Source organism: Homo sapiens, chromosome 21, assembly GCF_000001405.40.
Source record: "Homo sapiens chromosome 21, GRCh38.p14 Primary Assembly".
Lineage (NCBI taxonomy): Eukaryota > Metazoa > Chordata > Mammalia > Primates > Hominidae > Homo > Homo sapiens.
This window is the reverse complement of record NC_000021.9, coordinates 32,900,770-32,926,739: the sequence shown is the minus strand read 5'-3', so window position 1 is coordinate 32,926,739 and position 25,970 is coordinate 32,900,770. Positions and strand designations below refer to the sequence as shown.

General features: G+C 41.5%; 1 long non-coding RNA gene across 1 annotated transcript in view, besides 1 other annotated feature; it reads right to left on the bottom strand.

The window, feature by feature from the left end:
• LOC105377136 (uncharacterized) overlaps window positions 1-25,970 on the bottom strand; it is a 52,432-nt gene that overhangs the window by 5,396 nt on the left and 21,066 nt on the right. The window lies entirely within an intron of this gene.
• Window positions 6,933-8,266: an enhancer, noted in NCBI's record as "VISTA enhancer hs1188". NCBI's record gives its function as "enhancer in: neural tube[3/6] | hindbrain (rhombencephalon)[3/6] | midbrain (mesencephalon)[3/6] | forebrain[3/6]" and the evidence as "EXISTENCE:transgenic organism evidence [ECO:0001131][PMID:17130149]".

The window sequence follows — 25,970 nt, the reverse complement described above, 5'->3', positions numbered from 1 at the left end:
CCGAAATCTCATGTTGAAATGTAATTCCCAGTGCTGGAGGTGGGGCTTGGTGGGAGGTATTGGATCATGAGGGCGAATCCTTCATGAATAGCCATCCCCTTGGTGATGAGTGAGTTCTCACTATAAGTTCACGTGAACTCTGGTTGTTGAAAAGTGTGTGCACCTGCCCTCCTCCCCCGCCGCCATGCCTGCTCTTGTCATATGACTTACTGGCTTCCTCTTCACCTTCCGCCACCAGTGGAAGCTTCCTGAGGCCTCACCAGAAGCAGATGTCAGTACAACACTTCCTGTGCAGCCTGCAGAACCATGAGCCAATTAAACCTCTTTTCTTTATAAATTACCCAGCTTCAAGTATTTCTTTATAGCAATGCAAGAATGGACTAACGGACATAGACCAAATAAGGCAACTGGATAACTATATCCAATCAAATTTTTCTTTGCTTTACTTCTGTATCTGTCCTATAAAAGTCTCCTGCTTTGTGGTCTGTTGGTGGAGCTCTTGAATACTCCTCGTTTGGAGCTGTCTGATTAATGAATCATTGTTTGCTCAAATATATTCTTTAAAGTTGTGCTTCAATTTATTTTATTTTTCTTTTAGAGACAGGATCTTGCTCTGTCACCCAGACTAGAGTACAGTGGCACGATTATAGCTCACTGAATTCTTAATGTCCTGGGCTCAAAGGATCCTCCTGCCTCAGCCTCCCAAGTAGCTGGACTACAGGTGTGCACCGCAACTCCTGGCTAATTAAAAAAAGGTTTTTGTATAGTCAGGGTCTCGCTATGTTGCCCAGGCTGGTCTCAAATTCCTGGCCTCAAGTGATCCTTCCACCTTGGCTTCCCAAAGTACTGAAATTACAGGGGTAAGCTGGAGCAACCAGCTTCAATTTACTTTTTAACAATGTTTACATTGTTATAATTCTTTAAATACTGTGAATCACTGAACCATAAATACTACATTTATTTTTCCATTTCTGAACAACTTATGCTTTTCCTGAGGTTAAAAATTCCCTTTTTTACCTGACTTACTTTCTCTAATCCATATAGGTAGATATTTTGTTTTTTATAAACAAAGACAATTTTTTTTGTTTGTTTTAATCATTTGTCCCCAAACTGTGCCCTCCTCTCAATTTGTTCAAGCACAATAATTCCATCTTTTTGAAGCAGTCTCTTCTGGAACCTTCTGGATTGTTGTCCTATAAGTCTACTATGCAGTTATTATATTAGTGCAGATTTCCTTCACCTCCCTTCTATGATGGAGTCTCTGTTTCCTGGACCATACATCTTCCTCTTTTAAAATTTTACTCCTTTTTTATTTAAAAAAAAAAAACTTCCAATAGCTTTAGTATAAGGCCTGGAATGTCTGAAAACCTATTTTTTATACCCTTACATTTGATTAATAGTTTTGCTGGGTATAAAATTCTGCCTTTAGAAATATTTTTTCTTCAAATAGTGAAATATTTCTCTGTTGTCTTCCACCATATTGCTTTGGAGAAGTCCAATGACATTCTGATTGTTGATCCTTTGTATAAAGCATGTTATCTTTTTTCTCTCTGGAAACATGTAGGATCTTCTCTTTATTCTCATCATGATGAAATTTCACAATGATTTGTCTCAGTGAATAAATTTTCATCCATCCATAGTGCTAGGTACAATTGTGAAACTTGATACCTTGGGAACTTGATTCAGGAACTTGATACCTGGGAAGTTTTCATGAATTGCTTCTTTGGAAAATTGCCTTCCATTGTCTCTAAATCTACTTTCCATATTTGGATGTTTGACATTCTGGTGTGGTTCTATAAATTCATTATTTCTTCTCTCCTATTTTCCGTGTTTTTACTCTATATCCTGAGAGATTTTCTTAACTTTTTTACTTCTCCTGTTTCCAAGCACTTTTGTTTGTTCTCTGAATGTTTGTTTAAAATTAGTATCTTACACAAGCAACAAAAGCAAAAATAGACAAATGGATTGCATCAAACTAAAAAAACTTCTGCAAAGCAAAGGAAACAATTAGTGGAGTGAAGAGGCAACCTACAGATCGGGAGAAAATATCTTCAAATTACACATTGCATAAGGAGCTAACATCCAAAATATACAAAGAACTCGAACTACTGAAAAACAAGAAAACAAATAACCCCTTTAAAAAATGGCCAAAGACAAATAGACATTTCTCGAAAGAAGACATACAATGAGCAAAAGATATATGAAAAATGCTCAACATCTCTAATCATTAGAGAAATGAAAATTAAAACCACAATGAGATATTACCTTATACATGTTCAACTGGCTATTAGCAAAAAGTTGAAAGATAAGTATTGGCGAGGATATGGAGAAAAGGAACCCTTGTATATTGCTGGCAGGAATGTAAATTAGTACAGTTATTATGGAAAACAGTATGGAGGTTCCTGAAAAAACTAAAAATAGAATTATCATATGATCCAGCAACCCCACTTCTGGGTATATATCCAAAGGAACTGAAGTCAGTATGTTAAAGAGATGTCTGCACTTCCATGTTCACTGCAGCATTCTTCACAATAGCCAAGATATGGAAACAACCAAAGTGCCTGATATAAAAAATATTTTATACACACACACGCACACACAAATGCAATACTACTCAGCCTTAAAAAAAAGAAGGGGACATCTGTCATTTACTACAACATAGATGAACCTGGAGGACATTTGGCTAAGTTCGAGAGAACTGGTTTGGAGCAGAAACACCACATGATCTTATTTATATGTTGAATCTTAAAAAGTCAAATTCATGAAAACAGGGAGAAGAATGGCGATTGTCAGATGCTGGGGCAGGGGAGAAAAGGAGAATGGAGAAAGGGGAGATACTGGTCAAAGGGTACAAAGACAGGAGAAATAGGTTCTGGTTATCTGTTGCATAGCATGGTGACTATAGTTAATATACATTATATTTAAGAATAGGAAACAGAGTAGATTTTAAATGTTCTCACCACAAAGAAATGATAACTATTTGAGGTGATGAATATGTTAATTAGCTTGAACTGATCACTTCACAATGTATACATGTACTGAAACATCACCTTGTAGCTCATAAAATAAATACAATTATCATTTGTCAATTAAAAATAAAATTAGTATCTTATTCTTATTCCATGGATGCAATAGCTTATTCTTAGAATAGTAATGATTAATAATTTTTAAACATTTCTTCTCCCTTCATAGCTTCTATAACTTATGTTAGCTCTGAGTTACTTTCCACCTTTCTCTGGTTCTGCCTTAGAGGCTGTTCTCAAATACCAAATGGTCTTTAACTATCTCCCCGTATTGAATAATGGGTCACTAACAGCTGATGGTAAGCTCTGTGCATTTACATGGGGCTTGTCTGGGCTTCAGCACAGTGACCTGCTTGGGCCGTTTCCCTGGGGAATCTTGGATGGCAGTATGTATGACTCTTTCCTCTCATACTATTGGAAGAGCTGCAGTGAAGGCTTCACGGCTCTCCCATGGAAGCTATAGTCCTTATTACCATTATTCTGGAAACATGATCAGGAAAATGACCAGTGATCTCAACGTTTGGAATGCGAACATTTCTCTCGCCTGACATCGAAGAATAAGCGAGGAAGGCTGGAGATCTAACTACTTCTTAAAAGGACCTGAAGGATGTTTAATCTGTCCTTCTGCTTGTAGATCCACCTTGATTCCCACTTCCATAGGTCTCTGGTGTCACCAGTTTATGAGCAACTGGGTTGACTTTAGCTTGCCCCACTGGCTGCTTATGGTTCCGCTTTCTCAGCCCTGTTGCATCAGTTACTGTATTAGTCCAGGTTCTCCAGAGGTCAGAACCAATAGGATGCATGTATATATAAAAGGGAGTTTATTAGGGAGAATTGGCTCACATGATTACAAGGCAAAGTCCCACAATAGGCCATCTGCAAGCTGGGGAAAGTGAGAAGCTGGTAGTGGCTCACTTCAAGTCCGAAAACCTCAAAGCCAGGGAAGCCAACATTGCAACCTTTAAGCCAAAGGCCTGAGAACCCTCAGGGAAACTGTTGATGCAAGTCCCAGAGTCCAAAGGCCAAAGAACCTGGAGTCTGATATCCAAGGGCAGGAGGAGCAGAAGCAAGTGTCTGGCATGGGAAGAAGAAGGAGGGCCAGAAGCTTCAGCAAGCCAGCTCATTGCACCTTCTCCTTCTGCGTCTGCTCTGCTCTAGCCTTGCTGGCAGCTGATTGGATGGTGCCCACCCACATAAAGGGTGGGTTTTCCTCTCCCAGCCCACCAACTTCAATGTCAATTTCCTCTGGCAATACCCTCACAGACACATCCAGAAACAATACCTTACCAGCCACCCTCAATCCCATCAAGTTGACACCTAATATTCACCATCACAGTTACCAAACTTACATTTGCTTTCCAAACTTTCAGATTTTATTGCTATTATCATTGCTTCTGTTCTCTTCATTCCGTAGGTTTATATGTCTTCCAAAATACCTCCCCTGTTGTTGCTTTAGTGGGGTTTCAGGAGGGACTGGAGGCTAACCCCTGCATTCAACTCGCCATCCTTGAGTGGAAATCCCCACTCATCTCCTCTCAATGGCCTTGGCTTTGGGACTCTTCCTTTCCTATCTTTATCATAAAAATGATCGCATAAACAAAACCAAAGCCAAAGACTTCTCCAGTGCCCATGACCATTTTATTAACTTTGCTTTAATGTGGGAAGAGAAATCTATTTCCTCATTTCTTCACTTGTTGTGGAGCATCTAACAGGAGCAATGAAGGGAAGAAGACTTCAGAGCAAATTCCAAAGAAGGACCGAAGCGATTCTTCCCAATCCTTGGAAAACAACCCTAGCCAGATAGATCTTGATAAGCCCAGTGAACAACCTCATGGTGCGTGCGCTGCCCCCTGGTGGGCAGGCTGGTGCTGCTTTTAGGGTTCTCAGCTCTCCAAGATGGTCCAGGGAAGACCAAACATTGCCAGAAGAGGAGAGATTTGAACTCAGACTAGAAGAGAAGAGGAGAAAAGACGTTCTATATCTAAAATTCTTTTTCATTTTTTACCTATCAGTGTGTCTATGCCAGCATCAATCAATACACCCACTGTGTGTGGCCTATGAAGATAGTGAGATGTTGGTCAAAGGGATATAGCATTACTGAAGGAACAGCTATTTCTCTGGCTTCTAGGATGTTGCTACCCTTGCACAGAAGGAAAGTGCCCTTTGTAAGGAAGAAGACATGTCATTCCACATAAATCGCACCACCAGTCATGTCATCTGCACTACCATTTTATTAACCATTTTACAGCTGCACTATCCAATATGGTGGCCACTAATCACATGTGACTATTTAAATTCCAATGGATTAAAATGAGGAATTCAGCTTCTCAGTCACTCTAGCCACATCTCAAGTGCTCAACAGCCATATGTGGCTACCACACTGGACAATGCAGGTAAAGAACATTCCTGTCATTCCAGCAAGTTCTACTGGACAGTGCTGCTCTAGAGCCCTTGAAGGTGCCTGGAAGTTTCTGTGATTCTCACAGACAGACTTAAGCACACCCTTATCTGTGTTCCTACAAGTCTCTGTTCCCACCTTGGCCACAACATTCATCACAGTCTGACTTGAAATGGAGTTAGTCAAATAATATGCCTGTCTCTTCTCTTTGACCATAAACTCACGAGGGCTGGGACCAAGAAACCATTATTTGCCATTATTCTTAGCAGAGCCTGGCAAAGAGAGGTCCTTGAAGAAATATTAGTTGAAGGAATGACTCGATTATAAACTCCCTGAGGGCAGGTCCAGAATATTCTGATTTTTGTATTCCCCACAGTTCCTCAAGCAAAGAGGGAACCTCAGTAAATATCTGTCGAGTGATGGCATGCTGTCACATCCATCAGCCTGAAGACAGACCTTAGAGTCACTGAGATAAAAAGCCAGATTGCTGTGGCCTCTGCACTCACCAAATGTCTCTTGCCTCTGCCCCTGCACATCTGTCTCCTCTGGCTTTGCACCCCCCAGCTTGCCTCCATGTAGCAGGTCTGATCACAGGTAGCTCCCATCCCACTGTCCACATACACCCAGACGCATGCAGGCCCCATGCTCATGCCTGCCTTTGTCGCTTGGACCTCCTCCTGCCCTTCCATCCTACTCACTCTGCAAGGTCGGCAGAAGCTCCGCCCTCTCCCTGCGTCTGCTCCACCCACTCAGGCCCAGCTGATTTCAGGGAATTGGCCTGGAGCCCTTACAAATCCCCAATGTCTCCCTTTTTTAAATTCTTCTTATAATTCTAGGTAACACACTATACTGTGTTCTTGAATTCTTCGTGACTATTTTCAGCCACTAGTTTTTCTTTTCAACCAGATGGCAAATTCCATGAGGATTTTACTCTTATTTTGTGCTGAAGTCCTTTCTAGAATGGAAAAGGCAAGGCGAAATCCCAGTCCAATCACATTTTATAAATAAAGAGCTGAGTGCAGTGGCTCACGCCTGTAATCCCAACACTGTGGGAGGCAGAGGCAGGAGGATCACATGAGCCCAAAAGTTCAAGACCAGCCTGGGCAACATAGCGAGACCCCATCTCTACAAAAAAAATTCTGAAAATTAACCAGCCATGGCAGCACATGCCTGTGGTCCCAGCTACACCAGTGGCTGAGGCCAAAGGATCACATGAGCCCAGGAGTTTGAAGTTACAGTGAGCCATGATCACACCACAGCACTCCTGCCTGGGCAACAGAGAGAGACTCTGTCTCTAAAAATAAAATAAATATGAATAAGGAAACAGAGCCAGGGATTAAGGGGACCTGCTCAGGGTCACTCAGGTGAGAGCCTTATCTGCCTCACTCATAGATTTGGACCATAGATTTGTGCAGAGAAAGTTCAACCAATATGGAAAGAACCATGCTTCCGAGGGACTCTGCGTCAGCTCCTTAAGCCCAACTGCACTGGTTTCCTGCCTGCCTTCAGCTCACCAGCTTAGCTAGAGGAGCAGCATCTACCTTAGGCCTAGAAGAAAGTCTACATGCAGAGGAGGTGTCAGCTGTTAACTTGACAAAAGATAAGAGCCGAGGTCGTGATCTCCTAATGGCCAGCCAGCCTATTAGTTTAGCAATATATGTCTCCAATGTCAGAGCCATGCCTGGCGGAGGTTTGATTTTTTATTATTCAGGAAGCGCCTTACTTGAAAATGAGAGAAACCTCTAGCAGCTGCTGGAAGTCCCTTCTCTTAAAATAATGACAAGCAGAATCTTCACCTAAGAAATTTGGCTACACGCTCCTTCCGTTCCACTGTGCCCTTCTACTGCCTGGGTACCAGAGCAGAGAAATGGTTCAAACCTGTGGGCTTATAAAAAGAGGATGCCAATCAAATGTAAATAATGATCCCATTAAATAATGATTTTCATTTAAACCCAGCAATACAGATTTCTCAGACTTCGTGATTAGCTCCGTGTCAAATAAACTTTGCTCTTTTTCATTTTTTTAAAGCAGTTAATTTGCGATATTTTGCAATAATTTTAGGGTTGGGTTTGGGCTTTTTTTTTTTTTTTTTTTTTTTTTTTTTTTTAGTAGTGACCAAAAAAATCTTGCTGCACTCAGTCTCCTGAGAATGTTGGGTCGAGTTTTTTGATCCCGGTGACTCATTGATTTGCGGGCTGATGTAGTGCGAGGGGTCCTTATTAGTGGCGTCTGTCCCTGCTGTAATGTTTTTGTTATTTTTCCTCATTTGTTCACTCTGACATCATGTCATTACAGAATGGTGCTGTTCAGGCCCTGCCTCGGCTGTTCGTTAGCGTGTGTTTAATGAGCAGCTTAATTGAGCTGTCTAGTAGGCCACCTGTCGCCCTCCGGACTTATTAACATACTAATGGCCTGACATTGTATTCTCTGACAGGCAACAGGGCTTACTGATTTGATGTCTGGACATGGGGATTTTATGCAGGAATGAGAGCAGGCTTTGGGAAGAAGGTTTAAAAAACGCAAATTAACTCTTTGGTATCTATGTGTTTATGGCTCTCTTGTGGAAAAAAAAAAAAGTTCAACCCCAGGCAGGCAAGGCAAGCATGTTATGGGAAGGAGCCTGGCTCTACCCTTGCAAACCCAGTTGTGGTTCTCCAGGAGAAAATATGCTCCGCATGAGAAGAGCAGGCTTTGTTTCGATTACAGTGTTACTGTGAGGAACTGCCTCAAAGGAGAAATCTTCCGCAGCCCCAGGGAAAGTTATGTGATTAGACTTTTTCTACTGTAGCTAAACAAATGAAAAGTAGCAATTCTCCTTTTGATGAATTGAGTGTGGTCTGTCTGCTCCCCCCACCCCCCCCCCTTTTTTTTTTTGACAGGGTCTTTCTCTGTCACCTAGGCTCTAGGCTGGAGTGGCACCATCATAGCTCACAGCAGCCTTCAACTCCTGGGCTCCAGTGATCCTCCCATCCTCAAGCAAGTAGTTGAGACTATAGACGTGTAACACCAAGCTTGCCTAATTTTTGTTTTTTGTTTTTTGGGTTTGTTTTTGTTTTAGAAACAGGGTCTCGCTATGTTGCCCAAGCTGGTCTGGAACTCCTGGCCTCAAGTGATCCTTCCACCTTGGCTTCCCAAAGTGTTGGGATTACAGACATGAACCCAGCCTGTTCCCACCTTTGAAATCCAGCCGAGGGCTGGATTGTGAACCCTGGGCTGATGGGAATGGCTTAGAGAACTGGTCGGAGCTATCACATGCACGTTTGTAGAGAAAATTGGTTTTGTTGGTGTTTTTCTTCTGGGGTTGTGTGATTGGGTCTTTTCTGTCCTGGGAAATTTCAGGGATGTGAGCATTAGTCACAGGCCACAGGAAGACTCAAGTCCAAGGACAACACAGAGAGATAGCTTTTACAGGAGGACTGGATGTTCCTTTTCTGTCCCTTAACCTTTCATTCCTAGTATCTCCTCCTCCTTCGGTGCCTGCACACAGGACAGGCATAATCATAATTGTAAAGAAAAGGCTTCGTGAATTTTAAAGAAGTCAGTCTATGGAAGGGTCATGACTAAGGGCTGAGCCAAATCTCACCAGCAGCTGTGGAGGTCGGGGTGGAAGCCCATCAGGGGGCTCGGGTTGGCTGCAGCCTCCTTGGCCTGGGCTGAGGTTCCTGCCAGGTTAGCCAAGGAGCTGCAGGAGGCTGAGTCTGCAGAGAGAGCCAGAAAGCATTCCAGAGGCCGCTGCCCGGAAGCTGTGTTCCAGAACTTGGCTTGCAGCTGGCAGACTCTCTTTATGCAAAGCTGCAAGTGAGTTCCCTTCCTCCTGGGCTCTGAGCAGGGGGAATGCTGCAGTGGGACAGTCACACTTCCTTCTCCTCGCTAGTCCCCAGCCATGGCAGGAAGAAAGCATGGGGAAGAAGAGCAGGAACCTACCTACTGTCTATCTAATCCCTCTTTCTTTCCCCCCTCCATCTTTTTTTTAGAGACTCAGTCTCACTCTGTCTCCCAGGCTGGTAGTGGCACAATCATAGCTCACTGCAGTCTCCAACTCCTGGGCTCAAGCAATCCTCCAGCTTCAGCCTCCCAAGTAGCTGGGACTACACGTGCACGCCACTGTGCCTGGCCTAATCACTTTCATGGAAGGAGGAGGTGGAGAAAAAGGAGGAGGATCATAGCCTTCATTTTTATCTCTTAAGCCGAGCCTTTTATAAACATGATCTCATTTAAGTTTTTCACCCCAGGGTTTCTCAATTTCAGCACAACTGACACATTGGCCTGAATAATTCTTTGTTGTAAGGGACTGTCTTGGGTAATGTGGGATGCTGAGCTGCATCCCTAGCCTCTACCTACTAGGTGCCATTCACACCCCCAACCCAGCTGTGATAACCAAAAATGTCTCCAGACATAGCCGAATGTCACTGGACATCCAGCAGGGGGAGTGTCCCTCAGTTCAGAAACACGGGTCTGGAGGTAGGTGTACCACCCTCAGTTTGTAGATGAGAGGCAAACACCCTGTGAAAGAGGAATGGAAGCTTCACAGCTAGTAGGAGGCAGAGCAGGACTTAGACCTGCTGTCTGTTGGCTCTTATGTCCTGGCTCATTCCTCTTCACAGTCCTCCCCAGTCATGGTGTCACCAGTGGTGGCTCAGCTGTCCACATTCCAGTGCTGACCATCAGAGATCTAACATATGTCAGATGTTTGCTAAGGATTTTATATATCATCTTTTAAAATCCTCTCAATATCCCTTTGAGATAGGTACTATTATTAGTCTCTTTTAAAAGATGAGGAAACTGAAACTCAGGAATTAAGTAACACATCCAAAGACAAACGGCTGATAGGAGAGAGTCTCACTCAGGCATCTCTGGCTTCAAAGCACAAGTGTTTTCTAACACAGCACCCAGAACTCCAGCCATCTGCACCTAGAGACCTCCATGCTTAGGATCTATTCTCTTTTCTTGCCAAGAAGGAGCAAGCACTTCCTCCCTCTATTTCCCTGGCTGACCAGGGTGCTGTGCCTGTTAAGTTCCCCAAGGCCAATTGTGATGGTTAACTTTGTGTGTCAACTTGACTGGGCCACAGGATGCCCAGATATTTGATTAACATTATTATGGTTTTTTATGTGCGGTTGTTTTTGAATGGGATTCATTTTTAAATCAGGAGACCCAGCAGAGCAGATTGTCCTTTCTCATGTGGGTTGGCTTCATCTAATCAACTGGAGGCCTGAATAGAACAAAAAAGCCAACCCTCCCCCAAGTAAGAGACAATTCCTCCTGCCTGACTGCCTGCAAACTAGGACATCAACTTTTTCCTCTCTTCAGATGCAAACTGAAACATCAGCTCTTCCTGGGTCTGGAGGCTGCTGGGGCTCCACTGGGTCTCCAGCTTGCCAACTCACCCTGCGGATTTTTGAACTTGGCTTCCATAATCATGTGAACCAATTCCTTATACGAAATCTCTGTCTATCTCTGTATACATTGTATTAGTTCTGTTTATCTGGAGAACCCTGACTAATACAGCATTTGTTCAGCTTTTACACATGGCAGCTTCTTATATCCCCACATTTTCAGCATTTCTGTTTCATTTTGCTTTAGGACTGACTTGTAACCAATATGTATGCAACCAATATGTATGTTTCTTAAAAATGTAATCTGAGACTAATGATGTCAAACATATTCTTTCATTGTTGGCCTTTTGGATAATTTATCACTCTGTGCTACATTCTAGATGAGTTCCTCCATAATCATCTTCCAGTTTGTCAATTTTCTCTTTAGCTATCCAATCTAAAGTTTATCCCATCTATTGGGCTTTGTAAATTTCAGTAATTAGCTGCTTTCGCCTTTTAATCCAAGATTTCTAAATGATTCTTTTTCATATCTATCTGTCTTTTTTTCATTTCTGCCTGGTTCAAGTTCTTAATTTCTTGTCCTTTTTTTAAAAAAACATCCTGTTCATCTTTCCTTTAACTCTTAGAAGATATTCAGCATAGTGACTTTTTAAATCATTTTCAGATTACATCATTGATTTCATTTTCTCTTAAGTGATTTCATCTCTTGACTTTTAATTTTTTTTAATTAGTTTATTTTTGTTTTATTTCATTTTGTTGCAGTGGCCCTGTACTCACCATTCCTTTTCTAGTGGTTTCTTGTGTCTATGTGCCCTCTTAGAGTCTCTGGTTCAGAATCACATCTTACAGTGGGCTTTCAGAGTGCTCATCTTACAGAGATAACTGGGGATATTTTAGTTCTAGTCACTGAGCCACTTAGTAAAATGGCCAGATGCTGGATGCAAGGCTGTATTTGCCTTCTCTCATCTTGTATTTTCAGTTATGCAGGGGTTGATGTAAGCATTTTATATTCTCTTATAAGAGGGAGCCACATTCCACCCTGGCTCTGTTCTTCTGCCTTCCAATCACTGCAGAAAATGAACTCTCTGCTTCCTTTGACTGCTTGCAGATTCACAACCCAGTAGGCTGCTAGCTTCAGTAGCTGATTTCCGTTTTGAGTTTCTAGCCCACAGAGATGTTATCTTTTTTTTCAGCATGGTCATTTTTAAAAACTCTACCATTACTCTGCATTGATACAGATGGGGGGCTCAAAGCATAAATCTTGATGGGGTTTAACTTTCCCCGTTGTGTATATTTCTCATGACCATTCTGCAATATTTTATCAAAACAATCTCCCTACAGGAAATAGTCGCCTAGTTGTTACCTTGGCTTTACAAAGTGCTATGATTAGGAAGTCAGAGTGCTTAGTGGTCTAAAGACTGCCTGGGTTCAAGTCCCAGATCTATTACTTATTTGTTATGGAAACTTGGGCCAAGTTATTTAATGCTTTAAGCCTTATTTTCCTCATCTGCAACATACATCAATAGTATAACTTCCTGCAGTTGTTCTGAGGATTAAAGAAGATAAGCCATGGGAAAACATGTCCCACAGATTCTCTGTGAGAATTGACTGTGAGGGCACACAGTCAGCCCTCAATAAATGTCTTCCATTATTATGATAGTTATTACTTCCTGGTTAGAACCAAATATCCAACTTTAGAATAGCATTATTTTTTGAAAAGTGCTCCAGTGGCCTGAATGGCAGAAGAGAGAAATGCCAGTAAATCATTCACTTCTTACATTTTTCAAAGTACCTTCATATCTTTTATCCCTAATCCCTCAACAAATCTGTATTTTTTTTTTTTCATTTTACAGATGAAGAGAAAACTGAGCCATAGGATGAAGAGAAAACTGAAGCACAAGATGACTGCATGCTTTTGGCCATAGACACAGGGACGAAAAGTCGCACTCACTTGACACTCTCTGGGATATAAGAAGTGCTACCATTTCTTGAAAGGAGATTAGGAAGCAGCCCTGGGAAACCCTGGTACCTCTGTGGAAATCGGCACTCTCCATTTCCCTGCTGAACTGTCAGTGTTGCCGTGCTGTTGGTGGTCTTGGACCACCGAGATCATATTAATACCAACAACAAGCCAGCAACTCAGAGGGCTGCCATTTGCTTCTCCAAACCCATTCTTCACTTACCTCTGCTCTGTTCTGTGTCCTTTATCTGCATGGGTTATAGCAACAGGTTCCCTACTCTCTGGCTCCTGGCTATGTCTGACCAATGGCAGAATGACCAATGATTTAGAGAATCAACCTGGGACAGGGCCATATAAGACTATAAAACAGGCTGGGTATGGTGGCTCACACTTGTAATCCCAGCACTTTGGGAGGCCAAGGTGGGAGGATCATTTGAAGTCAGGAGTTCCAGACCAATCTGACCAACATGGTAAAATCCCATCTCTACTAAAAATAAAAAAATTAGCCGGGCATGGTAACACACACCTATAATCCCAGCTGCTCGAGAGGCTGAGGCAGGAGAATTGCTTGAACCTGGGAGGCAGAGGTTGCAGTGAGCTGCTGAGATTGTGTTGCTGCACTCCAGCCTGGGCAATAGAGCGAGACTGCATCTCAAAAAAACAAAAAACAAAAAACACTAAAAATAAGGGGAAGGGGGTTTGGGGGTAGGGAGAGCATTAGGAAGAATAGCTAAGGAACGCTGGGATTAATACCTAGGTGATGGGTTGATCTGTGCAGCAAACAACCATGGCACGTGTTTACTTATGTAACAAACCTGCACATCCTAGACATGTACCCCAGAACATCCTAGACATGTACCCCAGAACTTAAAATAAAAGTTGAAGAAAAAATAAAATAAAATATTTTTAAAAGACTAAAAAACAACCACCACCCCCCGCAGTAACATAATATATGATAAGTACTTATATACACGTGTTATTACTTTAACATGAAGATATGAAAAATAGGTATTTGTTTAAAATTTATATATGTTACTCAATATTTTCTGTTATATAAATGCTATTATTTAAACAAAATAATAGTAGTACTAGGTAATAGTGGCAATTAAGAGTAATTCATAGCAGGATTAATTAACAAATAATATATGAGAAAACAATATTTTTATAATGTTTCTTTCTGTCCTCTGATACCAGAAATTTATTTTAACTGTTTATTGGATTCTTAAATTTTGTAAGCTACATTGTTGTATATCTCTAAGATACATAAATGTAAGCCCTTTAAAAGAAAACATAAATACAATAGGACTAATTAAGTAGATATTATCTAGATTTAATAAAAAATAGCAATAATATGTTTTTTTCTATTCAATGATACAGTAGGATATTTTTGCTCCTTCTGTTTCCTTTTCTGCTAATACTTCTCTGAACTTTCAAGAGCCTTTAGTACATCCTTATTTCTCTTGCATGTAGTAGAAAAACTCAACATAGTCAAATGTAAAATTCACTTCGTCTTAAAGCTGTCTTCTTTTTTTTTTCTGAGATGGAGTTTTGCTCTGTCACCCAGGCTGGAGTGCAGTGACGTGATCTTGGCCCACTGCAACTTCTGCTTCCTGGGTTCAAGCAATTCTCCCGCCTCAGCCTCCTGAGTAGCTGGAATTACAGGTGTCTGCCACCACGCTTAGGTAATTTTTGTACTTTTAGTAGAGTCGGGGTTTCATCATGTTGGCCAGGCTTGTCTCAAACTACTGACCTTAAGTGATCTGCCTGCCTCAGCCTCCCAAAGTGCTGGGATTACAGGCGTGAGCCACCGCACCCGGCCACAGCTGTCCTCTTATCAAGCCCATATTACACTGAGCCCTGGTGTCAGCCCAAGGTGATGACATTGAGCTAACAATGTTCTCAAAAAAAGCATTTTAATGTGGCGCCCCTACAGGAATTAATGGTTAATTATATGTGTCATCCAGGCTACGGTGCCCAGTTGTCTTGTCAAACACTACTCTAGATGTTGATGTGTAGGTATGTTTTAGATATGATTAACACATAAATCAGCAGACTTTGAGTAAAGCGGATGACCTTCCTTAATGTGAATGAGCCTCTTCCAAACAGTCAAAGGCCTTCAGAGCAAAGACTGAGGTTTCCCAGGGAAGAAGGAGCTCTGTTTCCAGACTGCAATATAGAAACCCTGCCTGAGTTTCCAGTGGATTTTGGACTCAGGTTTGCAACATCTACTCTTCCCTGAGTCTCCAGCCTGACACCTGCCCTGCAGATCTCAGCCTTGCAGCCCCAATTGTGTGGACTAATTCCTTCAAATAAATTTCTCAGTGGATGGATGGATAGATAGATAGATAGATAGATAGATGATAGATAGACAATAAGATGATAGCTTTTTTATTGCTTCTGTTTCTCTGGAGAAAGGGTAATAATAATGTATAGTAAACACATACATTCTGTGAAACCCTTTTAAAATTTTGCCATGTAATCCGCTAGCAAGAACAAGTTTTTAGACAAGCAAGAATTAGTTTGCAGCTCTCCAAGATTGTCCATCCACTTTGTATCTAAAGACTTATTTTGAAAAACCAGATGTTTCTCAGTGAGATTCTTTGTATCAATAAATTAGTTATATGAGTCAGTCATGTCCAAAACGGCCATCATTTTACCTAGTCTGAAGTACATTGGATGGCATTATAAGTTAAACCTTTGTTTCTCACAGAAAATGGTATTAAAGCACAGAGATAATTTTAAGTTTTAAAATCTTAAATTGGATTACAAATAAACTACCAATTTAGTAGAGAAATTAAGAAAGCTCTGTTGCCATTTTCTGTTTTTTATAGTTTTAAACCTGCTTTATTATTATTTTTTAAAGTATCACTTTTTAGAATGAATCTAAGCCTTATTGTCCTCATCTGCTAAGTCCTTTTTTTAGTGAGTTTTTTCACAATGTCCACATAACATCAAATAACTGAAGTCCAGTCTGCCCATCCTTTTCTATGCTCCTTATGGGCTCTTCAAATACCACCAAACAGTTTTGGAGAAAGAGCACATAAGTTCTGTCCTTGTCTCCATTATCAGCCTCAGTGTATTTCCAAATTAAACAGGGACATCCTTCTTATCCCAAACTTTGAAAATATTACTTTGCAATAGACCAACAATTTAATATTTTCTCTATGGCAGGCAATGATAATAGCCACCTTGTAGGCATGCGTCTAAGGAGACTACCTCCTACCATTTCTACAAAGTCAAAAGTCTCATTGTTTCTACACATTTTGAAAGAAATGAAAGCTGACCAAAAGCTTTCATTATGAAATCATCAATATCCCAGATAAGCAAATCACACCCCCTAAATATATGACAATTAGCAGATAAGAGTTTTCCATTTTCATTGGTAAGAAGTTTATAGACTGAAAATAATTTGCCAAAATTTACCTTTGCATTCTCAGTCATATCTGTAGGTAGATTAACAAAGTCTAGTTTTTATTTTTATTCTTTTTATGTATTTATATATATATATTTTGTAGTGATGGGGGGTGATATGGTTTGGCTGTGTCCCCACTCAAATCTCATCTTGAATTCCCATGTGCTGTGGGAGGGACCAGGTGGGAGGTAATTGAATCATGGGGACAGGTCTTTCCCATGCTGTTCTCATGATAGTGAATAAGTCTCATGAGATCTGATGGTTTTATAAAGGGGTGCTTCCCTGCACAAGCTCTTTTCTCTTGCCTGCTGCCCTGTAAGACATGCCTTTCACCTTCCACCATGATTGTGAGGCCTCCCCAGCAACGTGGAGTTGTAAGTTCATTAAACCTCTTTCTTTTGTAAATTGCCCAGTCTCAGGTATGTCTTTATCAGCAGCATGAAAACAGACTAATACAGGGGGTCTCACCATTTTGCCCAGGCTTGTCTTGAACTCCTGGCCTCAGGAAAGGTTCCCACTTCAGCCTCCCAAGGCACTGGGGTTAGAGATGTAAATGTCTAGTTTTTATTCAGATAAGGTATCAGTAATCTTTTGGTTTACATTTTCTGAGTTTATAAACTGAGTGCTGCAGAAACACTGTTTATATTCTGATAAGTGCTGTTTATATTCTGAGTTTATAAGAGCTTATAAACTCAGAGCTGCAGAAAGCATGATTGTGGGGAAGATAGGAAAAGATCAGTTCTACCATGTAAGGGACCAACACATCTCTTATTGTTTTTATTCATCTCTTTTGTTTGTTTGCAAGACATTTCAGTTGTAACCTCTGAATCAGGAAATATAGCCTTACTGAATCCTATAAAATGATCAAAAGAGTGATTTGATAAAGTGATTTGTGTGGTATGACTGAGCTAATGCAGCAGCTGCTATTTTTGACTGGACATTTTTTGGTAGACAACGTTTTTTGATTGACTTAGGGATATCGGTTTCATCTTAGAATTGTGAGATGTCGTCTCCACATGCACTTTCACATCCCCTTCTCCACTGTGCCTGGCTCAAAACTCTTTTCTGCATATTGAGCAGCGTGCTCTGTTTTGATTATTTACCTCTCTAATCTGGTTGTACATGTCCTTCCATATGTCATTAAGATAACACAGTTGGTTAGCCTTCTTTTCCAGTGATGCCTTGGTTTACGCCAGCATTGGTATTGTAATCACTATCTTTTTTAATTATCTGAACTCTTAGAAAATATGGCCACAATATTTACAACTGCTAAAAATTAAATGAGCACTATCTTGATACAAAGGACAACAGTTAGTTCACAGGTAAAGTCAAAGACAGACTCTTAATGCCTGTGATTGCAGTGTACTTGTGACGCACACTTAGTTGCAACCTTGGGAAAGTTGCAACCGTGGATGATCCACTATTCTGAATGACAAGTTGTGGTCCCCAACCTGAGCAGTCAGGGGAGAAACAGCAACAGGGGTTATGGAAGGTGGATCATCTGCACTGTACCCATTTACAGCCAAAACAGTATTGCATTCAGCCCCTATTTTTTGGGCCACCATATGGTTTTTACACATTTCCCCCAAGCTTCTGTGCATATCACCGAATTGATTTTCCAGGATTTAGGACTTTAACTGCTAAAACCAGGATAATCCCAGGCAATCTGAGACGATTGGTCACCCTACCAACGAGGAAAAATTGTAGTTTGGAGGGCAGGAGGAAAAGAAATTACAGCTCCCTCCCTAAGGAATTGATATAAGGCTGGCTTCATTCCTTGACCAAAGCACCCAGGACTTGTCACGTGGCTTTCTCTCTGTCTCCATGTTCCAGTAACTGCTCTTTCCCTCTGCACTTCAGGCCCAGGGACTGTAACAGAGCCCTGCTCTTACTAGCCCAAGAAACCTTCACTGTCCTTTGTGGTTTCTCTAGACCCTACCCACTCTTAACTCGTAAATAATAATTAAATAATTATTAAATGAATAATTATTTATTATTTATATTTTCATATATTTTCATTATAATTATACTATTTATATGTTATAATATATAAAATATTTCCATATATAGATAAAATATAATTATAAGTTATATAGTTATATTTGTTATAATTATATAAATATAACTATATAAATTAATTATATAAGTGTAATTAGGCAACTAATAATATAATTATATAATTAATAAGATAATAATTAAGTATATACATTATAAATAATGTATATAAATTTATAAATGCATACTTATAAATTATAAATATAATTAATTAATTTATATATCTTATAAATCTCATTTAAATTTTATATAATATGCAATTTATATATTAAATATTTTATACATCTATATATACAATATAATATAAAAATATATTTCTATAATTATTAATTATAATAAATATATTATATAATTTATATATTATACATTGTATATATTATTAATTATAATGAATAATTATTAAATTAACTGATAATTAAATAATTATAAAATACTATTTGTAAATAATTACTTTGTTAAAATTTTCTCAAATTACTCCCTATTAGTGGGCCATCTATTTGTTGCTAGGTCCCTGACTGATACAGTAATGGGTTCCAGGAGTAGCCCCAGGAAACAGACCCTCAGAACAGACTCTGAAGATTGAGATAGCCACGTGGTGTGCTGGAGCCAGCTATGACTGGCTTACAAGAGCTGACTGTGTACATCTCTTTCCAACTACGTGTTCAGTGAAATTATGTTGGTAGATTGAAATCAGCCATAGTAGGGAATATTTATACCATAGAAATTTGCAAATGCTACCAATGAGGGCTTCTTTCTTTTCTCTTTTTTGTTTCTTTCTTTGTTTCTCCCCTCCCTACCTTTCTCCCTCCTTTCCTTTCTAACCTTCCTCACCTTCCTCCTTTCTTTTTAAGAATCAGTTGTTCAACACTTACCAGCAAGCCACTAGTTGCTCATCTATTTGCATTGCCCCGTAATACCTATCTTGCCAAGGGGAAATGGCACACAGGTAATCCGTGGCACACTGTGATGTGTTATTACTCAAATTATGAACAGTGCTGGCATGAGATAAAGTTCAAGTTGAGGGCAAAGTGTAAAGAGACTTTGATCCTATAGTGATTCTAAACATTTGGGAGCCAGCTGGCTTCTGATGGTCCTATGGCACATGCTTTGGGGAATGGGGGCTAAGTGAGGACGCAGCAAAGAAGGTAGCCATCTGCAAGCCCACCACTGGGCTCCTGCCTATTCACTCATTGTTACTCAGGGAATCCTCATTAGTTTCTTTTGCTCTGCAAGCTTACACTTAAATTCAACATCTGAGCTGAGGTCATAGCCTAGGCCAGAAAGCTTGAAAATCAGGCGGTGAGGAAGGCTGAGGATGAGGTGCTGATATCTATGCAGATCCAGGAAGCAATCAGGAAAGGTGGCCAGAGGTGTAGATCCAGTCCAATCCATGGTGAGTGACTGACGGATTGGTTAGCCAGTCAGTGACTTGGAACAAGACTTGAAAATTGATGATAAAGAGGTCTGGGAGTATGTGGATGGATCTCTTAGAATGGGCATGGATATTCATGCCTTCTTCACTACAGGGCATTCACTGTGGAGGAGGTTCTCAAAAATCAGGTGGTGTTATGGACTGAATTGTGTCTAACCCCGCCCCCCAAATTCACATGTTGAAGCCCTAACTCTTCAATGTGACTATATTCAGAGATGGGGCCTTTAAGGTGGTAATTAAGGTTAAATGAGGTCATAAGAGTGTGGCCCTAATCTGGTAGGACTGGTGTCCTGATAAGAAAAGGAAAAGACACCAGAGAGCTCTTTCTCTGCACACACAGAAAAGAGGATAAGTGAGGACACAGCAAAGAAGGTAGCCATCTGCAAGTAACGAATAGAGTCCTCACCAGAAATTAACCTTGCTGACACCTTGATCTTGGACTTCCAGCCTCCAGAACTTTGAGAAACTAAATGTCTATGGTTTAAGCTAACCAGTCAGTGGTATCTCGCTACAGCAGCTTGAGCAGAATAATTGAGGTGGTTAAGTTGACCTGTCCTGTAGAGGTTGACTAACCATGTGGCTCACTCAATGGGCTCAGATACAAAGTGGCCATATGGCAGGGGTGGAGGTTTATACATGGGTTCATCACTATGGACTTTTCCTCGCCAGGGCTGATTTAGCTACAGCTATTGATGAGTTTCCAATTTGTCAACAGCAGAGACTGTATCTGAGCCTCTAAGCTGTTACTATTTCCCAGGGATACCAGCAAGTTGATTATATTGAACCCTGTATTAATGGGAGTTCTCCAGAGAAACTTAACCAATAGAAGAGAGAGAAAGAGATTTATTTTAAGGAATTGGCTCACGAAACTGTGGAAACTGGCAAGTCCAAAATCTGAACCTATGTAAGAGTTGATGCTGCAGTATTGAGTATGAATTCCATAGGGCAGCAGGCTGGAAACTCCTTCTTCCTCAGGAAACCTCAGTCTTTGCTCTTAAGGCCTTCAGTGGACTGGATGAAGCCAACATGCATCACGGAGAACAATCTGCTTTAATAAAGTCCATGGATTTAAATACCAGTCGTATCTAAAATATCTTCTCACCGGAACATCTAGTCCGGTGCTTGACCAAACAATTGGCCACCATGTCCCAGCCAAGCTGACACATGAAAGTAACCCCCACAGGGCCCTTCCATCATGAAGGTGGTAGAACTTATTCTTCACAGAGATAGATATATCTCTGATACAGATTTGCCTTCCCTATTGATATAGTTTGGATGTTTGTCCCCTCCAAATCTCATGTTAAAATGTGATCTCAATGTTGAAGGTGGGGCCTAGTGGGACGTGTTTTGGTCACGAGGCAGATCCTCATGAATGGTTTGGTGCCCTCCCTGAGGTAAGGAGTGCACTCTTGCTCTTTTAGTTCACGTGAGATCTGATTGTTTAAAAGAGCCTAGCATCATTCTCTCTCTCCCTCTCTCTCTCTCTCTCTCACCCCCCCACCCTTTCCCAGCCTGTGACACACTGGCTCACTTTCCACCTTCTACCATGAGTAAAAGCTTCCTGAGGCCTCACCAGAAGCAGATGCTGGTGCCATGCCTCTTGTACAGTCTGCAAAACCATAAGCCAAATAAACCTCTTTTTAAAAATAAATTACCCAGCCTCAAGTATTCCTTTATAGCAACACAAAATGGACTAACATGCCTATTCATAATGCTTTGATCAGTACCACTATTCCCGCACTTGCAGAATTCCTCCATCATTGCCATAGTATCCTATATTATCACCTCTGATCAGGTGACATATTTTAGGGCAAAGGAAGTGTGGCAATGAACTCATGCCCAGATTAACCCAAAGGGCCACATCACCCAGAAACTTCTGGTTTAATAAAAAGTGGAGTGGCCTGAGGATGGCTCGGGTATAGTTCTAGGTGGGAGACAAGATGCTGGGAGGTCAGAGAGCTGTCTACCTCTGCCCCATGTGTCCTTAAAGATATCTAAGGTTTGGTGCTGTCTTTCCTTTAGTCAGAATCCATGGGACTGGGGGGTGAGTGGGGGAGATAAGAGTATCCCTGTCACTATCATGTCGTGAAACTCTTTGGAGGGATGTTTGCATCCCATCCCTATCTTCTTAGACTGGGAGGGTGTGGAGATCTTAGTGCCTGTAATGGTCAGTTTGAAGTGTCAACTTGGCAAGGCTGTAATACCCAGTTATTCAATCAAGTATGAATCTGGGTGTTGCTGTGAAGGTATCCTGCAGATGTGATTGGCATCTACAATCACTAGCTTTAAGGAATGGAGATTGTCCTCTACACTCTGGGTGGAGATTTCCAATCAGTGGAAAGGCCTTAAGAGCAGAGCTGAGGCTTCCCTGAGGAAGAAAGTCTGCCTTTGACCTGCAGCATCAGCTCCTGCCCTAGAGTTCCAGGTGGCCCTTCCTGATGGCCTACCCTCTGGATTTTAGACTTGCCTAGGTGGCTGCCACAACCTCATAAGCCAATTCCTTGCAATATATCTCTTGATGTATATATGCTACTTGTTCTGTGTTTGTTTGTTTTGTTTTTTGCTGGAACCCTGACTGATACAGTGTCCAAGGGGAACATGCTTTCCAAGTCATGCGTTTTGGGGAGAAATCTGCCTGCTGCTTAATCAGCAAGCAGAGAAAGGGTCACTGTGTTGAACACAGTAGTTGATTCCAATAACCAAGGAGCAAGTTACCTAATGGGGGAATGGAGTTCTATGTGTGGATCCCCAGAGATACACTGGGAACTTTCTTAGTACTTCCTTGCCCAGTAGGCTTAGACAATGGAGAAAAGATCTCCAAGGACAGAGATACTTCCAGAATGAAGGCTTAGCTCATCCCTCTAGGTAAAGAACTTAGGCAAACCGAAACTGGCATAAGACAAAGGGAACTGTAGAAGGGTGGTAGGAAGAAGGCAGCTGTGATGGCCAACCTGGACTTGTAACCTGCTCCATCAGGTACTATGGTGGTTATACACATCAGCCATTCCTTTCCCTTTCCCCTCATTACCTTGAATGAAGGTGGCTAATATTTTAGGTTTTGGGACTTTGAATGACTTTGTCCTTTTTGGGGACACACATTTATAACCTGGGTAAAGGACAAACATAAACACTGGGGGATGAAGGGTACCCTGTGCTGGATGTCTCTCATTTGCCCCTCCAGCCCTGCTTCCACCCCTGCTCTATGCCATGGGTCTGACCTCAAAGGGCCACATCAATGGGCTCCCCTGCTCTCCAACTTCTGGTTGTCTCCAGTCAATGGGGACGTCATGGGCTGCAGAAGAGATGGGGATAGAAATGTGAGATCAGTCCATGTCCTCTCCTGATCCCTCTCTGGGGTCACTGCAGGCTGGCCAAATCCCTCCAACCCCAGCCCTCTGTGTCTCAGGCTCCTGCGCTCTTAGGCCTGAAGAGGGTAAGTGCCCACCATGATTACTAGCCCAGAAACACCACAGTACTCCTTGTGGCTGCCCTGTAACCTGCCCACATCATTGTAAAGGGTCCCTTTATTACACTTTCCTCAAATAACACAATTTGAGCATGCTGTCTGTTGCCTGCTGTACCCTGAGTGATAAAGGACTATTTGGGCTTATTGAGCTCTGAGCATCTCTCCAAAGAAGATAATCAGAGACTCATGGATGAGAAGGGACTGTGGGTAGAGTTGAGACCACTTTCCAGCCAACCTAGATAACAAACAGAGAGAGGCTCTGTAAAAGAATAAGATATTGATTTGGGAACACAGCATTGCAATGAGAATACATGTGCCACAGTAAATTACATGCATAGTTAGGGAGGTGAAGGAATACAAAGGTTTTTAGAGGAAGAACTGAGGTGAGCACATCATTGTTTTGAGGTAACTATCTTTGGCTACAAATATCAATACCAAGGGTGATTCCAGTCAAGGTTGGGCAGACAGTTGCTGCGCAGATGTTCCTGCAGAAGTACTCTTTGTGTAAGGTTGTGATGGCCTCTGTGCAGGGTTGCGGCTTTTGCAGTCTTTTGTGACAGTTTGTGTTATCAAGCACACAAACGTAAGAGCCCTCTCTTCATGGCTTTCCCTGGCTCTATTTGTGAGGTTGGGTTTTTAACATAGTGACTCCATTTTAATTCTGACAACTCTCATGTTCCATTTCCAGATGAGACAAGCCGCCAAGGTCGAGAGTGGTGAAGTGAGAAATCCAAGGTCCTTTAGCCAAGCAGGGGCAGGGCAGGGACCCATCTCAGATCTCCTGGGCCCATGTACTGCAGTACCTGACCCTTCCTTCTGTCTGTCTCAGGCTCTGTGAATGACTCTCAGGCCATCTAAGTGTAAGGAGTCCTTTGTAAATCCTTCCTGAGGTGAAGAAAGTAACACCTGCCTTGCAATCCCATAGCAAGGACCTTCAAATCATACCAGGAATAAAACTATATATGCAGGGCCCCATCACGGAGGTGCTCTGTGGAAGTCTGTGGGTTCTAAGTCAAGCCACGCCCAAACTGCGAGGCTGGGGAAGCTGTCTCCTTAGCCCTCGCCAGCTGCTGCTCAATGCCCCATTCTTAAGCACCCCTATTCAAGATGTCACCTGACAACTGGGAAGTTAACAGATTTTCTAAGGCATTATCCACGCTGTTTACAATAAGTGAGAAACTCTGTCAAGCATGGGTTTCTACAAGTAATTATGTAATGAGAGTGCAAAGAAACAGCAGGCTTCCTTAACTAAAACGACCTCTTTCTCCCAGACTGGCAACAGGAGAGAACTTTACTTATGGGACACGATTAAAGATGAAACTGTATTTCTGGCCTCTCACCACTTGAATATTCAGTGGTAATCATCTTCCCCTGCTTTAGGTAAAAGTTTCCGCAGGTCTCAGGAGTTCGACATGCACTTTAAGTCAAAAATACTGTCTTATTTCTGATATTAGGACATCTGTGACATATATAGATAACAGTTCCAACCTGGAAGTGGTGTTCATCTTTCTCCTCAACCCCAGCTCAGACCTTTTTCAGGCTGGAAGCCATGGTGGGCACAAGGACTTGGCTGGTTTCTTTTCTTTTTTCCACCTTATACTTTTATTCCTCTCCATCTCCACCCTCTTAGCGCTACTCCATTTTTGTCCTGTCAAGTGCGGGGGCAACACAGTAGAGAGGAAACCATACAAACATGGGAAATGTCTTAAGGCTGCTTGCATCTTTCAGCCCCAATTCTTTTTTTTTTTTCATGTTGTTTACTTTGAAATGATTCCAAATTTCCAGAAGAGTCGCCAGAATAATACAAAAACTCTCATAGTATAAGTCCTCTCCCCCATCTCTCTCTGTCTCTCTTTCTCCCACAGTCTCTCAATCTCCCTATCTCTCTTTCTCATGTGTATCCTGAGATTCACCTTCTCACTTTATTTTCCTAAACTGTTTGAGAGTTCATTGCATCCTCAACCCCTTTCTTTCTTTCTTCTTTTTTTTTAAACCTTCAACTTCTATTTTAGATACAGGGGTGGGTACATGTGCAAGTTAGCGACATGGGTATATTTCATCCAGGTAGTCAGCATAGCACCCAGTAGGTAGTTTTTCAGCCCATGCCCCCTCCCTCCCTCTCCCCTCTAGTATTCTGCAGCATCTATTATTCCCATGTTTATGTCCCTATGTGCTCAATGATCAGCTCCCACTTATAAATGAGAATAAGTAGTATTTGGTTTTCTGTTCTTGCATTAGTTTGCTTAGGATCACACCCTCCAGCTCCATCCATGTTGACATAAAGAACATGATTTCATTCTTTTTATGACTGCATAGTATTCCATGGTACCACATTTTCTTCATCCAATTGCCTATTGATGGGCACCTGGGTTGATTCCATGTCTTTGCTATTGTGAATAGCATGGCGATGAACATATGAGTATATATATTTTTTGGTATAATGATCTATCTTCCCTTGGGTATATACCCACTAATGGAATTGTTGGGTTGAATGATAGCTCTGTTTTAAGTTATTCGAGAAATCTCCAAACTGCTTTCCACGGTGGCTGAACCAATTTACCTTTCCACCAACAGTGTATAACTGTCCCCTTTTCTCCACAGCCTCAGAAGCATCTGTTGGTTTTTGACTTTTTAGTAACAGCCATCCTGACTGGTGTGAGGTGGTATCTCATTGTGGTTTTGGTTTTGCATTCTCTGATGGTTAGTGATGATGAGAATTTTTTCATATGTTTTTTGGCCACTTGCACGTCTTCTTTTAAGAAGTGTCTGTTTGTGTCCATTCCCCATCTGTTAATGCGGTTATTTGGTTTTTGCTTGTTGATTTAAGTCCCTTATAGATTCTGGATTTTAGACCTTTGTCAGATGAATAATTTGTGAATATTTTCTCC